Here is a 16,052-nt window from a genome sequence, read left to right on the forward strand (position 1 = left end):
ATGTAATCCAGCCCACCGTTGGAAGCAGAGGTCAGGGGCTGGCAGGCAGAGGCCCCGAAGGCCTGCAGGGTCAGTCTTTCCATGTCTTAGGTTGAAAACATGTTTCCCATGACTGTCTCTGCCCACGCAGGTCAGTGTCAGCGTGCAGCCTGGAAGCAGCAGTGTCAGCAGAGCAGGTTCCCTGCACAAGTCCACTGCTCTGCCAGAAGAGAAGAGGCCCGAGACTGCAGTGTCCAGGCTTGAGCGCAGAGAACAGCTGAAAAAGGCCAATACTCTTCCTACGTCTGTGACAGGTAGAGAGCAGGTCCATTGCTTTGTAACTGTAGTTCCAGGTTTCTCTTTGTAGAGCGTGCTTTATATCCTACAGTGTAATGACTAGCAGAGCACCTCAGGCATTTCAAAGCACAGGCTATCTGATAACCTCATTCATAAACGTTGACACTGATTAAGCTCATTTGATAAAGACCACCAGGAGCTCACCCACTATCAGTGGTGTGTTGGTGAATATTTAACAGTTAGCTCTTGAGGGGGTAGAGAGACCTCTGTTTGGAGCATCTTCAATTTCTCAGTGTAAATACTCCCACCATGGCCTGTTCAAAGCTATTATACCAATATGATGTCAGCTGGCTCACTACATTTGTGAACGTTTAGCACGGCAGTATGAGCCATCTCCAGCACCCTCTGCCTATATTCTGACAAAGTTGGGTTTATTAACTTACAGAAGAACCTTCTAAACAAGAGAAAAGACAAAATTATAGCAGGACTTGGGGTAAAGGGTGAAGTTTAGGTAAAATTTAAATGGAGTAGCATTTTAATAAGTCAAATCAAAGCCATGGTGTCCATAAAGGAGATAATATCAAGACTGAGCTGAAACGTTTGCTCAGGCTCCTGTTTCCTTCAAAACTACAAAGTTAAGTTAAATGTTTGAAATGTTTGAGGTCATGGATATCCAACTTACCCTGATTGATCATTATACATTATTTGTATGTATTAAAATGCCACATGTACCCCCAAAATATATACAAGTATGGTGTATATATATATCAATTTTAAAAATACAGAAAAGAAAGATAAATGTGGGCCAGGTATGGTGGCTCATGCCTGTAATCCCAGCACTTTGGGAGGCCAAGGCAGGCAGATTGCTTGAGCCCAGGAGTTCGATATTAGCCTGGGCAACATGGCGAAACCCCGTCTCTACTAAAAATACAAAAATTAGCCAGGTGTGGTGGTGCATGCCTGTAGTCCCACCTACTTGGGAGGCTGAGGTGGGAAGATTGCTTGAGCCCAGGAAGTGGAGGTTGCAGTGAGCCGAGATCGTGCCACTGCACTCCAGCCTGAGCGACAGACTGTCTCAAAAACAACAAAAACAGAAAAGATAAATGTGTAAAATGTTGTATCTGAAAACCACTACCAGGAGCTCCGCACCCGGGTTGGAAATGGAAACTGCATCTCTGTGATGGTGACACGTGGCTCAGAAGCTCCAGGCAAAAGTGAGATGGTCTGTTCTCACTGATGTGATTTCACGCAGCGGGTTTCTGATAGTCTGTGGCTTTACAGAGTAAAGTTTCTCAGCACAGTGTCTTTGATGTTAATTAACAACAGCAGTTTTTATATGTTCATAACATGTAAGAGATGTACACATTTAGAAAATATTCTTTATTTGGTTAAAAGGTAAAACGATGTAATGTATCCAACTATCTCCTTATTACCAATCACTTGAAGGATGGATGACTCTGAACAGGCTCCCTACCAGTGATTAATAGGGCATCTCTTTTCCCCACTAGGCTCCACTATTCCCCAAAGGGCGTCTAATCTCTAGACCCAGGCTTTTCTCTGCCTTGGCTACCTGAGGTCAAGAGATATTAAGAGGTCTTACTATTAAAGATATATTTACTACTGGTGACACGGAGGGAAGCTTTATATTTGTTTTTTAGTTTTGTTTGGCATTTTGAGGGAGAGACAGAATCTTGCTCTGTTGCCCATGCTGGAGTGCGATGGCGCCATCTCGGCTCACTGCAGCCTCCGCCTCCTGGGTTCAAGCAATTCTTCTGCCTCAGTCTCCCAAGTAGCTGGGAGTACAGGCACACGCCACCACACCCAGCTAATTTTTGTATTTTTAGCAGAGACAGGGTTTCACCATGTTGGCCAGGCTAATCTCGAACTCCTGACCTCAAGTGATCCGCCCACCTCGGCCTCCCAAAGTGCTGGGATTAAAGGCGTGAGCCACCATGCCTGGCCCAAAGCTTTATATTTGAAAACCACTTTAGAATGCTGTGTAATTTCTTAAGAACCGCAGGCAGGCATTATGTCATTTGATTTTACTTATAGGAATTAAGGGTTCTACCTGTTAGAACCAGAAAGAGAAAGAGTGAGAAAAAGAGAGAGAATGAGTTTCTTTCAAAATAAAGTGAAAGCCCCAAAGTCAAAGAGGTCAAATCTTTCTCTGCCTGATTTCTCAGAAGTACTAAAGGATTAATGCAACTCAAGAGTGGCTCTAGCTTAATAAAGCAAGTCTTTGTTCTGAAGTATTTGTCTTCTCAGTCAGTATTTCCTGAGTTCTAGAAGCATATGTGTAAGCCATTGCCATAGGCACTATTTATGACTCAAAGATAAGACAAGCACCCTCTCACATTAAGAAGCCTATACACTCTGATAAAGTGATACGGTGCAAAGAACTGTGAGACAAGGATGAAAGTCATGGGAGCTGGCAGGATCTGTGAGACTCAGAGGTAGAGGCACCCAGTGGATGCTTTTGTGGGGACGGTAGCTTTTTTTTTTTTTTTTGAAGCAGAGTCTCTCTCTGTCACCCATGCTGGAGTGCAGTGGTGCGATGTCGATTCACTGCAACCTCTGCCTGCAGGGTTCAAGTGATTCTCCTGCCTCAACCTCCCAAGTTGCTGGGATTACAGACACCTGCCAACAAGCCTGGCTACTTTTTGTATTTTTAGTAGAGACAGGGTTTCACCATGTTGGCCAGGCTGGTCTCGAACTCCTGACCTCAAGTGATCCTCCCTCCTTGACCTCCCAAAGTGCTGAGATTACAGGCGTGATCCACCACGCCTGGCCAGGAAGGTAGCTTTTAACCTCACCAGATCCAGTCGGCTGGGTTGATCTTTTTCTTCATGGAATTGACTGGTTATCATGCAGGCATAGCTTCTTTATATAGATTAGGCTTCTGGAAATTCTTTGAAATTAGAACTGACTACTTTGGTTGTTGTAATTCTGTGTGCAAGAGATATAAACACATAGCTTGCTTTCCTTCATTCTCCTCACTGAGGGAGTCCAGGAATTTGCCTCTCTGTGTTTCACTGGGTTTTCTTTTTTCAGTCTCACACTTCTGATAAATCAAAATATGGCTGGGGTGGGGGGTGTTGGAGAGATGTTCATCAAAGGATACAAAATTTCAGTTAGATAAGAGGAATAAGTTCAAGAGACCTAAGAGAGTAGATTTTAAATGCTCTCACCATAAAAATGATAACTGTGAGGTTTTGTATATTTTAATTAGTTAGATTTAGCTATTTCACAATGTATACATATTTCAAAACAATGTTGTACATGACAAATACAGTTTGTCATGATAAATACATAGTTTATCATCTGTTAATTAAAAAGAAAATTTGTAGTGTGGCTGTGAACTTACTTTTTCCTTTTCCTTCAAAACAAAATCCAGTGGAGATCTCCGACTCGGCTCCCCCAGCGCCGCTGGTAAAAGAAGTCACCAAGAGGTTTTCCACCCCGGATGCTGCCCCCGTGTCAACAGAACCAGCCTGGCTGGCTTTGGCCAAAAGGAAAGCAAAGGCTTGGAGCGACTGTCCACAGATTATTAAGTAAAGAGTGACTCTCACCCATCCCTACTGCCAGTTATTGGCTCCTCTCTTGCCCTTTTTATTTATTTATTTTTTATATGGGGTAAAGAAATCAAGCTAGGGAAAAGAAGCATGTTTTATAGGCTCCAAAATAATGTTTAGAAACTGAACTGGTGGTGTTCATTGTAAAGAGTGGATTTGCACAACCCTAGGTCCTGGTGCCTCGAGCTCCTCCTAGTTCTCAAGAGAAAATTCCGTCCACAGGACCACATGAAGCAAAATCTCTAAGCTAAGAACTCGTGAGAGCCTGCCATGCCCATTTCATGGCCTTGCACACACACCCACCCACACACCATTCAGAACATGTACTTTTGCCAACCTTTGGTAATGGTTTTTTGATTCTATGCACTAATTTTCTTTGTCCAAAACATTTACTCTACCATATGTCTGGGAATGTTTATCCTTTCTACAGTAATGGTGAAAGGATCATATCTAGCTAAAAGCAAGAACACCCATTCTCCTGAATGCAGTGAGTAATTGGGAATCACAAGGAACATTCTGGCACCCAACTGTGCCCATCTTAGTTTTCATGAGTTTTCCCCACTCTGAAGCTGTAACCCAGAAGGCACATCCATTCACATTTTTACCGCACTGTGGATTCATAGTGTGGGGCCCTGTTATTCCAATACCCTCCTTAAGGACATGTGAAGCATTTGGCCCAGTTGGCTCCCAGGGAACATTTTAATTTAATGTAGTGAAGAAAGACAATTCTAGATCAGAGCTACAAGTTCACTTTCTGTCTCTGAGAATCTCCATCTAGGGCAGTAGTTCTTATGATGTGTAGGCTCCCTCCTAGGGCCTACTCAATCAGAGCCTGTGGGGACTGGGCCAGGAATATGTATTCTGGCAAAAACTCTTCAGGTCAGTTCTGATAGATCCCAAAGGTTAAGAACTGTGAGAAACACTGATCCTAATGCAATCTAATTTTTCAGACTTCGAAGGGGAGGCTCATTCACTCAAAAAGCAACAGTGAGACAGGAAAAATAATAAAACAACCCCCCAAGCCAGCCATTTATTACAAGAAGCAACAGGTTATTGACATTACATGTTTGAAAATTCCCTTTGGTCTTTAGGGAAAATAAACAGGAAGCCAAGATTTGGAGCCTTTGTAATAAGGACTTCCTGCAGAAAGTCTTTTCTTTACTATAATTGAGTAATTCATATTTAGAGTCACATGTCCAGTAGCATTTCTAATTTTGAGCATTCACCTTGCTACCTTTAAAAAACATCTGAGTTTTAAGTGGCCTTTTTATCATCATACACATGTGCATACAAAGAAGGGACTTGGCAGTTTAAAAGCCACATATATTCACTTTTATTGCCCTAAATTTACATGAAACAGACATACTGGCAAACTCACATATTGCTGGTGCTAACCTTATATTTCATAGTGTTGGCATATTCCCCTTTTCTTAGATTCTTACTCCGAAATATAGGTACACATCCTTTGCTCTGTGCAGAGGGAATTACATCCTTTTTCCTCTCCTACAAAAACATGCTTTATTAAGTATCCATCATTACTTTCCTTTATGCTCGCTCAATATGCAATGTGCTGTTATTCTACCATGTACCTTAAATAAAGGATGATGGCAAAGTTATTTACCATGTAGAAACCATTTTCTTTCTAGAAACAATAGCTCAGCCTCACTGTAGCAGCTGGCATGTGTGGTCAAGTGGATAGTTGTACTCTTGCAAGTTGGATTTAATATCATATATACTGGACCTTCAGACTGTTAAAAATCAATGTAACCTTTTTTTATTGCTATGGCAAGCAATTAGTATTTCACTGCACGTCTTCCATACTAATGTTCATTTCTAAATCTTATATGTAGGCATTTGTTAGTTCCAATGATTTCCTCACTAATATAACACTTTTTAATGGGAATCTTTCCACCTACAGCCCTGGAATGATAATGCTACAGTAATTCTTCTGAATTGACTTTTTCTTTCATCCTGTCAGCTTTGGACAATATCCCAATTATGGCAGGGAACAGGTGGGGAACTAAGATCAGTTACAAAAAGTTGTAGATGTGTCAACTTTGTATTGGCTGGGATATCACTGTGCCCAAACAAAACAGGCGAAATACCTCAGTTAAAATTTTTCCATCAAAGTCTTTAAAAGAAGAGTATACTGAAGAAAGGGCAGTCACAATACTTACTTCTAACAGCTTCTAAAGGGTACATGTTTAACATTTCATTTCAAAATCACCCCAAATTTGCACTAAATACCAATGAAGTGTTATTTTGCTTTAGTAGTCTTCTGAGCAACAAACTATGGGGAATTCTGTAAAAACATATAAAAAGTTCAAGACTTTTTTTTTAAATGAATGATCACTATGTTAAATGCAAACTTTTTTTTTTTTTTATTTAAACAAACATACACTTCTCCTGGCAAGGTTATAGATGATTAACCTCTGTTCATAGACTTATATATAAAACTAGAGGGTTTTTTGTTTACTTTTTTAATTTTTCAAGTGCAATTGTTTCTTACACAGACATTATTACTATTAAATTATCATTTAGCCAGTTATCTGCAAATATATAGTATGTATTGTCTCTTCTTGTGACGTTTAGTTTAATTGCTTATTTTAAAGCAGAAACATTAGTTACAAGTGTCTTACAATATTTTTACCAACAGTAAAGTAGAGACTTAATGAAAATACCTTAGTGTGATTTTAATATAATTTGCATATTTTAGTTGTATAAAGTTTTAATGTAAAATGTCCATTATTGAAGGGAAAAGATCTTTCAATAAAAAATACCCACGAGATCTTCGGCACTGATGGAATTTGATTTCGATGACCAACTGCAAAACAATCTCATTATATTTACATAACTTTTGTTGAACAAGAACAACTTTAAACTGTTTTATTACATTTTTTTCCTAGGTATTTTTAGAGAAAAATAATGAACGGGGGCAAATAAAATGTTTGTCTCAATCCTAAATTGGAATTGAATGGTCTGGGTCTCAGACAAAAGGATTGTACAGCCACCTCACAGCATGGGCTACTCACCAGCAGCAGCAGCAGAAGCAGCAGCTGAGAGCACGTGAGAATTGCAGCTTATGGCCACACATCAGACATACTGACTTAAAGGGCCAGACCCTGGTGAAATGAAAAGTGAGTTAGGCATGTGAGCACTTGCCTTGGCTTCCAGAAAACTAAGTAATCAAGAGAAATACTATTTTGATGCAGTATTTTAAAAAAATCAAAATTAATGCAAAAAAAAAAACCCATTGCAAGATGAGCAAAAGATCAAATTTTTTTTAGTATGTATAACTTGATTTAATTTTATTTATTTTTAAAATATTTTGCATATTTTTCTTAAACCTACGGCACTTAGTATTCCAAGGAGGTCTCCCATCTAAGTACTAACCAGGCTTGACCCTACTTAGCTTTTTTTTTTTTTAATTTAATTTTATTATTATTATACTTTAAGTTTTAGGGTACATGTGCACAGTGTGCAGGTTAGTTACATATGTATACATGTGCCATGCTGGTGTGCTGCACCCATTAACTCGTCATTTAGCATTAGGTATATCTCCTAATGCTATCCCTCCCCCCTCCCCCCACCCCACAACAGTCCCCAGAGTGTGATGTTCCCCTTCCTGTGTCCTTGTGTTCTCATTGTTCAATTCTCACCTATGAGTGAGAACATGCAGTGTTTGGTTTTTTGTCCTTCCGACAGTTTACTGAGAATGATGATTTCCAATTTCATCCGTGTCCCTACAAAGGACATGAACTCATCATTTTGTATGGCTGCATAGTATTCCATGGTGTATATGTGCCACATTTTCTTAATCTAGTCTATCATTGTTGGACATTTGGGTTGCTTCCAAGTCTTTACTATTGCGAATAGTGCCGCAATAAACATACGTGTGCATGTGTCTTTATAGCAGCATGATTTATAGGCCTTTGGGTATATACCCAGTAATGGGATGGCTGGGTCAAATGGTATTTCTAGTTCTAGATCCCTGAGGAATCGCCACACTGACTTCCACAATGGTTGAACTAGTTTACAGTCCCACCAACAGTGTAAAAGTGTTCCTATTTCTCCACATCCTCTCCAGCACCTGTTGTTTCCTGACTTTTTAATGATTGCCATTCTAACTCGTGTGAGATGGTATCTCATTGTGGTTTTGATTTGCATTTCTCTGATGGCCAGTGATGGTGAGCATTTTTTCATGTGTTTTTTGGCTGCATAAATGTCTTCTTTTGAGAGGTGTCTGTTCATGTCCTTTGCCCACTTTTTGATGAGGTTGTTTGTTTTTTTCTTGTAAATTTGTTTGAGTTCATTGTAGATTCTGGATATTAGCCCTTTGTCAGATAAGTAGGTTGTGAAAATTTTCTCCCATTTTGTAAGTTGCCTGTTCACTCTGATGGTAGTTTCTTTTGCTGTGCAGAAGCTCTTTAGTTTGATTAGATCCCATTTGTCAATTTTGGCTTTTGTTGCCATGGCTTTTGGTGTTTTAGACATGAAGTCCTTGCCCATGCCTATGTCCTGAATGGTAATGCCTAGGTTTTCTTCTAGGGTTTTTATGGTTTTAGGTCTAACGTTTAAGTCTTTAATCCATCTTGAATTAATTTTTGTATAAGGTGTAAGGAAGGGATCCAGTTTCAGCTTTCTACATATGGCTAGCCAGTCTTCCCAGCACCATTTATTAAATAGGGAATCCTTTCCCCATTGCTTGTTTTTCTCAGGTTTGTCAAAGATCAGATAGTTGTAGATATGTGGCATTATTTCTGAGGGCTCTGTTCTGTTCCATTGATCTATATCTCTGTTTTGGTACCAGTACCATGCTGCTTTGGTTACTGTAGCCTTGTAGTATAGTTTGAAGTCAGGTAGCGTGATGCCTCCAGCTTTGTTCTTTTGGCTTAGGATTGACTTGGTGATGCGGGCTCTTTTTTGGTTCCATATGAACTTTAAAGTAGTTTTTTCCAATTCTGTGAAGAAGTCATTGGTAGCTTGATGGGGATGGCATTGAATCTATAAATTACCTTGGGCAGTATGGCCATTTTCACGATATTGATTCTTCCTACCCATGAGCATGGAATGTTCTTCCATTTGTTTGTATCCTCTTTTATTTCATTGAGCAGTGGTTTGTAGTTCTCCTTGAAGAGGTCCTTCACCTCCCTTGTAAGTTGGATTCCTAGGTATTTTATTCTCTTTGAAGCAATTGTGAGTGGGAGTTCACTCATGATTTGGCTGTCTGTTATTGGTGTATAAGAATGCTTGTGATTTTTGTACATCGATTTTGTATCCTGAGACTTTGCTGAAGTTGCTTATCAGCTTAAGGAGATTTTGGGCTGAGACAATAGGGTTTTCTAGACATACAATCATGTCATCTGCAAACAGGGGCAATTTGACTTCCTCTTTTCCTAATTGAATACCCTTTATTTCCTTCTCCTGCCTAATTGCCCTGACCAGAACTTCCAACACTATGTTGAATAGGAGTGGTGAGAGAGGGCATCCCTGTCTTGTGCCAGTTTTCAAAGGGAATGCTTCCAGTTTTTGTCCATTCAGTATGATATTGGCTGTGGGTTTGTCATAGATAGCTCTTATTATTTTGAGATATGTCCCATCAATACCTAATTTATTGAGAGTTTTTAGCATGAAGGGTTGTTGAATTTTGTCAAAGGCCTTTTCTGCATCTATTGAGATAATCATGTGGTTTTTGTCTTTGGTTCTGTTTATATGCTGGATTATGTTTATTGATTTGCGTATATTGAACCAGCCTTGCATCCCAGGGATGAAGCCCACTTGTTCATGGTGGATAAGCTTGTTGATGTGCTGCTGGATTCAGTTTGCCAGTATTTTACTGAGGATTTTTGCATCAATGTTCATCAAGGATATTGGTCTAAAATTCTCTTTTTTGGTTGTGTCTCTGCCAGGCTTTGCTATCAGGATGATGCTGGCCTCATAAAATGAGTTAGGGAGGATTCCCTCTTTTTCTATTGATTAGAATAGTTTCAGAAGGAATGGTACCAGTTCCTCCTTGTACCTCTGGTAGAATTCGGCTGTGAATCCATCTGGTCCTGGACTCTTTTTGGTTGGTAAGCTATTGATTATTGCCACAATTTCAGAGCCTGTTATTGGTCTATTCAGCGATTCAACTTCTTCCTGGTTTAGTCTTGGGAGGGTGTATGTGTCGAGGAATTTATCCATTTCTTCTAGATTTTCTAGTTTATTTGCGTAGAGGTGTTTGTAGTATTCTCTGATGGTAGTTTGTATTTCTGTGGGATCGGTAGTGATATCCCCTTTATCATTTTTTATTGCGTCTATTTGATTCTTCTCTCTTTTCTTCTTTATTAGTCTTGCTAGCGGTCTATCAATTTTGTTGATCCTTTCAGAAAACCAGCTCCTGGATTCATTAATTTTTTGAAGGGTTTTTTGTGTCTCTATTTCCTTCAGTTCTGCTCTGATTTGAGTTATTTCTTGCCTTCTGCTAGCTTTTGAATGTGTTTGCTCTTGCTTTTCTAGTTCTTTTAATTGTGATGTTAGGGTGTCAATTTTGGATCTTTCCTGCTTTCTCTTGTGGGCATTTAGTGCTATAAATTGCCCTCTACACACTGCTTTGAATGTGTCCCAGAGATTCTGGTATGTTGTGTCTTTGTTCTCGTTGGTTTCAAAGAACATCTTGATTTCTGCCTTCATTTCATTATGTACCCAGTAGTCATTCAGGATCAGGTTGTTCAGTTTCCATGTAGTTGAGCAGTTTTGAGTGAGTTTCTTAATCCTGAGTTCTAGTTTGATTGCACTGTGGTCTGAGAGACAGTTTGTTATAATTTCTGTTCTTTTACATTTGCTGAGGAGTGCTTTACTTCCAACTATGTGGTCAATTTTGGAATAGGTGTGGTGTGGTGCTGAAAAAAATGTATATTCTGTTGATTTGGGGTGGAGAGTTCTGTAGATGTCTATTAGGTCCGCTTGGTGCAGCGCTGAGTTCAATTCCTGGGTATCCTTGTTAACTTTCTGTCTCGATCTGTCTAAGGTTGACAGTGGGGTGTTAAAGTCTGCCATTATTATTGTGTGGGAGTCTAAGTCTCTTTGTAGGTCACTCAGGACTTGCTTTATGAATCTGGGTGCTCCTGTATTGGGTGCATATATATTTAGGATAGTTAGCTCTTCTTGTTGAATTGATCCCTTTACCATTATGTAATGGCCTTCTTTGTCTCTTTTGATCTTTGTTGGATTAAAGTCTGTTTTATCCGAGACTAGGATTGCAACCCCTGCCTTTTTTTGTTTTCCATTTGCTTGGTAGATCTTCCTCCATCCTTTTATTTTGAGCCTATGTGTGTCTCTGCACGTGAGATGAGTTTCCTGGATATAGCACACTGGTGGGTCTTGACTCTTTATCCAATTTGCCAGTCTGTGTCTTTTAATTGGAGCATTTGGTCCATTTACATTTAAAGTTAATATTGTTATGTGTGAATTTGATCCTGTCATTATGATGTTAGCTGGTTATTTTGCTCATTAGTTGATGCAGTTTCTTCCTAGGCTTGATGGTCTTTACAATTTGGCATGATTTTGCAGTGGCTGGTACCGGTTGTTCCTTTCCATGTTGAGTGCTTCCTTCAGAAGCTCTTTTAGGGCAGACCTGGTGGTGACAGAATTTCTCAGCATTTGCTTGTCTGTAAAGTATTTTATTTCTCCTTCACTTATGAAGCTTAGTTTGGCTGGATATGAAATTCTGGGTTGAAAATTCTTTTCTTTAAGAATGTTGAATATTGGCCCCCACTCTCTCCTGGCTTGTAGAGTTTCTGCCGAGAGATCCGCTGTTAGTCTGATGGGCTTCCCTTTGTGGGTAACCCGACCATTCTCTCAGGCTGCCCTTAACATTTTTTCCTTCATTTCAACTTTGGTGAATCTGACAATTATGTGTCTTGGAGTTGTTCCTCTCGAGGAGTATCTTTGTGGTGTTCTCTGTATTTCCTGAATCTGAATGTTGGCCTACCTTGCTAGATTGGGGAAGTTCTCCTGGATAATATCCTGCAGAGTGTTTTCCAACTTGGTTCCATTCTCCCTGTCACTTTCAGGTACACCAATCAGACGTAGATTTTGTCTTTTCACATAGTCCCATATTTCTTGGAGGCTTTGTTCATTTCATTCTGTTTTCTCTAAACTTCCCTTCTCGCTTCATTTCATTCATTTCATCTTCCATGGCTGATACCCTTTCTTCCATTTGATTGCATCGGCTCCTGAGGCTTCTGCATTCTTCACGTAGTTCTCCAGCCTTGGCTTTCAGCTCCATCAGCTCCTTTAAGCACTTCTCTGTATTGGTTATTCTAGTTATACATTTGTCTAAATTTTTTTCAAAGTTTTTAACTTCTTTGCCTTTGGTTTGAATTTCCTCCTGTAGCTCGGAGTAGTTTGATCGTCTGAAGCCTTCTCTCAACTCGTCAAAGTCATTCTCCGTCCAGCTTTGTTCTGTTGCTGGTGAGGAACTGTGTTCCTTTGGAGGAGGAGAGGCGCTCTGCTTTTTAGAGTTTCCAGTTTTTCTGCTCTGTTTTTTCCCCATCTTTGTGGTTTTATCTACTTTTGGTCTTTGATGATGGTGATGTACAGATGAGTTTTTGGTGTGGATGTCCTTTCTGTTTGTTAGTTTTCCTTCTAACAGATAGGGCCCTCAGCTGCAGGTCTGTTGGAGTTTGCTAGAGGTCCACTCCAGACCGTTTGTCTGGGTATCAGCAGCAGTGGCTGCAGAACAGCGGATTTTCGTGAACCACGAATGCTGCTGTCTGATCGTTCCTCTGGAAGTTTTGTCTCAGAGGAGTACCTGGCCGTGTGAGGTGTCAGTCTGCCCCTAATGGGGGGTGCCTCCCAGTTAGGCTGCTCGGGGGTCAGGGATCAGGGACCCACTTGAGGCAGTCTGCCTGTTCTCAGATCATCTCTAGCTGCATGCTGGGAGAACCACTGCTCTCTTCCAAGCTGTCAGGGACATTTAAGTCTGCAGAGGTTACTGCTGTCTTTTTGTTTGTCTGTGCCCTGCCCCCAGAGGTGGCGCCTACAGAGGCAGGCAGGCAGGCCTCCTTGAGCTGTGGTGGGCTCCACCCAGTTCAAGCTTCCCGGCTGCTTTGTTTACCTAAGCAAGCCTGGGCAATGGCAGGTGCCCCTCCCCCAGCCTCACTGCCGCCTTGCAGTTTGATTTCAAACTGCTGTGCTAGCAATCAGCGAGACTCCGTGGGCGTAGTACCCTCCGAGGCAGGTGTGGGATATAATCTCCTGGTGCGCCGTTTTTTTTAAGCCCGTTGCAAAAGCGCAGTATTAGTGTGGAAGTGACCCGATTTTCCAGGTGCCGTCTGTCACCCCTTTCTTTGACTAGGAAAGGGAACTCCCTGAACCCTTGCGCTTCCCGAGTGAGGCAATGCCTCACCCTCTTCGGCTCACGCAGTGTGCTGCACCCACTGTCCTGCGCCCACTCTCTGGCACTCCCTAGTGAGATGAACCCGGTACCTCAGATGGAAATGCAGAAATCACCTGTCTTCTGCGTCACTCACGCTGGGAGCTGTAGACCGGAGCTGTTCCTATTCGGCCATCTTGGCTGCCCGCAAAAGATCAAAATTTTAAGGAAAGGGCATTGCTAGGAACAATGAATGCCTGAAATCACCATGTATAACCATGAAATTGTACTATGTGGGGGGTGTGATATATGTGTGTTTATTTTATTCTACATTAGTACTTCATTTAAAAATAACTAAGGAACATAATTCAATAACTAGATCCTGCCTTAGAAAACCTTTTGCCATGAATGACAAATTCATGTAATAAAGACTGTTTTTAACCCACCAAGTAAGTATATTCTGTTTCTCCCCCCGGCCCCCCAGCTGGGATCTTGCTTTTTTAAAGAAAAAAACATAAAATTAGCCTAATGTATTAGGGTTCTCCATAGAAACCTAGCGATTAGGAGAGATGATGTATTATGAAAATTGGCTTAAGTGATTATGATGGAGGCTGAGAAGTACCACCATCTGCCATTTGCACGCTGGAGACCCAGGAGAGTGGTCTAAAGGCTTCAGAACCAGGAGCCCTGATGTCCAAGGGCAGGAGCAGATGGATACATCTCAGCAAGAAGACAGCATTTGCCCCTCCTCTACCTTTTCATTCTATTCAGGCCCTCATCAGATTGAACGATGCCACCCACATTGGCACACTGGTGAGGGAGGACCTTCTTTACTCAGTCTACTGATTCAAATTCAAATGCTAATCATCTTTTCCAGAAACAGCCTCACAGACAAACCCAGAAATAATGTTTTACCAGCTATCAATCATCTGAGCATCCCTTAGCCAGTCAAGCTGACATATAAATAAAGTTAACCATCACACCTAATTAAACAAAAGTGCTACTAATTATATTGATGTGTTTTGTTCTCTAACTCCTTGTAAAAGCTTCTGTCGTTCCTATGGGAAGTAAAATATAGTTGTTCTCTAATCAAGTGTAGACAAGTTTCCGTTTCTTAGCCAAAATATAATCTTCTTTAATATAAAATAAGTCCACATGATGTATAATGGTAAAATATTTTCAAATATCTCACATTTGTTATACAAATAAGGACTGTATTTGATTATTTTTGATTGCCACCCAATAAATCCAGACAATAAACATAATTATCTCTACACCCAATAATGAGCATTGATTCCAGGACCACAGGAGAAGAGAAGACTTCTCCAGGAAGTTCATAAACACTTTGCAATTGTCCACTCTGAGATTCCAAGATCCACACTTTCCCATCAGTAGATGCTGCTGCCAGCAACATTTCATTGCTGCCATTGTAGTTATGGAAAGCAAACGGTGTTGCATAGACCCTTGAAGTAGTTTCAAATTTCCACTGCAGGTGACCTTTCATGTTACAACAGTAGATAAAGCAATCATGGGAACCAAAAAATATTTTTTGCTCTGATGGTGAGGTACACGGGGATGAAAAGATTGGTCCACTGGTAGAGAACTGCCAAACCTATAACAAGTAATAAAAATAAATATAATTCATTCATCTAATTGCTCCAATTCTCCCTTAAAGCTCTATGAGGTTCTTAATGCAAATCTAAGAGATATAGGCTATTTGAATGGTAACTATACACAGACAAAATGGCTTTTTCTGAAAAGTAGCACTATCATACTAGACCTCTGTCCCAGTGGTAAAATGTAAAATCTAAGACAAAATATACTGGAGTGTTGTTACTATGTGATTCACTGCCGTGCATAATAAGTAAAATTAATTTTGAACTCCATTCAAGAGTTAGTATTATTCAGAGACACTGAGTTCAAAGGTAAAACTACATTGAGTTTTCAATATTATCTTTTTTTAATTTTTATTTATTATTATTATTTTTTTTTGAGATGGAGTCTTGCTCTGTCGCCCAGGCTGGAGTGCAGTGGCATGATCTCAGCTCACTGCATCCTCTGCTTGCCAGGTTGAAGCGCTTCTCCCGCCTCAGCCTCCCGAGTAGCTAGGCGCGTGCCACCACACCCAGGTAATTTTTTGTATTTTTAGTAGAGATGAGGTTTCACCATGTTAGCCAGGATGGTCTCGATCTCCTGACCTCGTGATCCGCCCACCTCGGCCTCCCAAAGTGCAGAGATTACAGGTGTGAGCCACCACATCCAGCCTTCAGTGTATCTTATTAAAAACTGGGCCAGGCGTGGTGTTTCATGCCTATAATCCCAGCATTTTGGGAGGCCAAGGCAGGCAGATCACCTGCAGTCAGGAGTTCAAGACCAGCTTGGCCAACATGGTGAAACCCCATCTCTATTAAAAATACAAAAATTAGCCAGGTGTGGTGGCACACACCTACAGTCCCAGCTACTGGGGAGGCTGAGGTGGGAGAACCACTTGAACCTGGGAGGCAGAGGTTGCAGTGAGCCAAGATCACACTACTGCACTCCACCCTGGGCGATAGTGAGACCTTGTTTCAAAAAAAAAAAAAAAAATTGAGACCAGTTTTCAATATATCTTCTTACAAACTATGTATCTTCTTTTCCAAATGTAGGAAAAAAGTTAATTGTGCTGAAAGGAAGAGTTTATGGGCAATGATAAACAGTTATAAGTTGTGGCCAGGCATGGTGGCTCACACCTGTAATCCCAACACTTTGGGAGGCCAAGGCAGGTGGATCACCTGAGGTCAGGAGTTCGAGACCAGCCTGGCCAACATGGTGAAACCCCATCTCTACTAAAAATACAAAAATTAGCT

At 40.8% G+C, this 16,052-nt stretch overlaps 2 protein-coding genes and 1 pseudogene across 26 annotated transcripts in view; 1 reads left to right on the plus strand and 2 right to left on the minus strand.

Annotated features, from left to right (window-relative positions):
• The window catches only part of CRACD (capping protein inhibiting regulator of actin dynamics), a 281,512-nt gene extending 274,876 nt beyond the window's left edge, over positions 1 to 6,636 (plus strand). For all 13 annotated transcript variants that reach the window (XM_047415994.1, NM_001393381.1, NM_001393384.1 and 10 more), the window contains 2 exons: positions 131 to 293; positions 3,671 to 6,636. In XM_047415994.1, the coding sequence (XP_047271950.1) occupies positions 131 to 293; positions 3,671 to 3,831 (324 nt within the window). In that variant the 3' untranslated portion in view covers positions 3,832 to 6,636. The remainder of the gene's footprint in view (positions 1 to 130; positions 294 to 3,670) is intronic.
• On the minus strand, positions 7,204 to 7,244 carry RNA5SP162 (RNA, 5S ribosomal pseudogene 162; annotated as a pseudogene).
• Positions 14,317 to 16,052, minus strand: part of AASDH (aminoadipate-semialdehyde dehydrogenase) — a 49,202-nt gene continuing 47,466 nt past the window's right edge. For all 13 annotated transcript variants that reach the window (NM_001286668.2, NM_001323893.2, NM_001286669.2 and 10 more), the window contains one exon: positions 14,317 to 14,818. In NM_001286668.2, the coding sequence (NP_001273597.1) occupies positions 14,429 to 14,818 (390 nt within the window). In that variant the 3' untranslated portion in view covers positions 14,317 to 14,428. The remainder of the gene's footprint in view (positions 14,819 to 16,052) is intronic.

The sequence above is a fragment of the Homo sapiens genome, chromosome 4 (genome assembly GCF_000001405.40).
Source record: "Homo sapiens chromosome 4, GRCh38.p14 Primary Assembly".
NCBI lineage: Eukaryota > Metazoa > Chordata > Mammalia > Primates > Hominidae > Homo > Homo sapiens.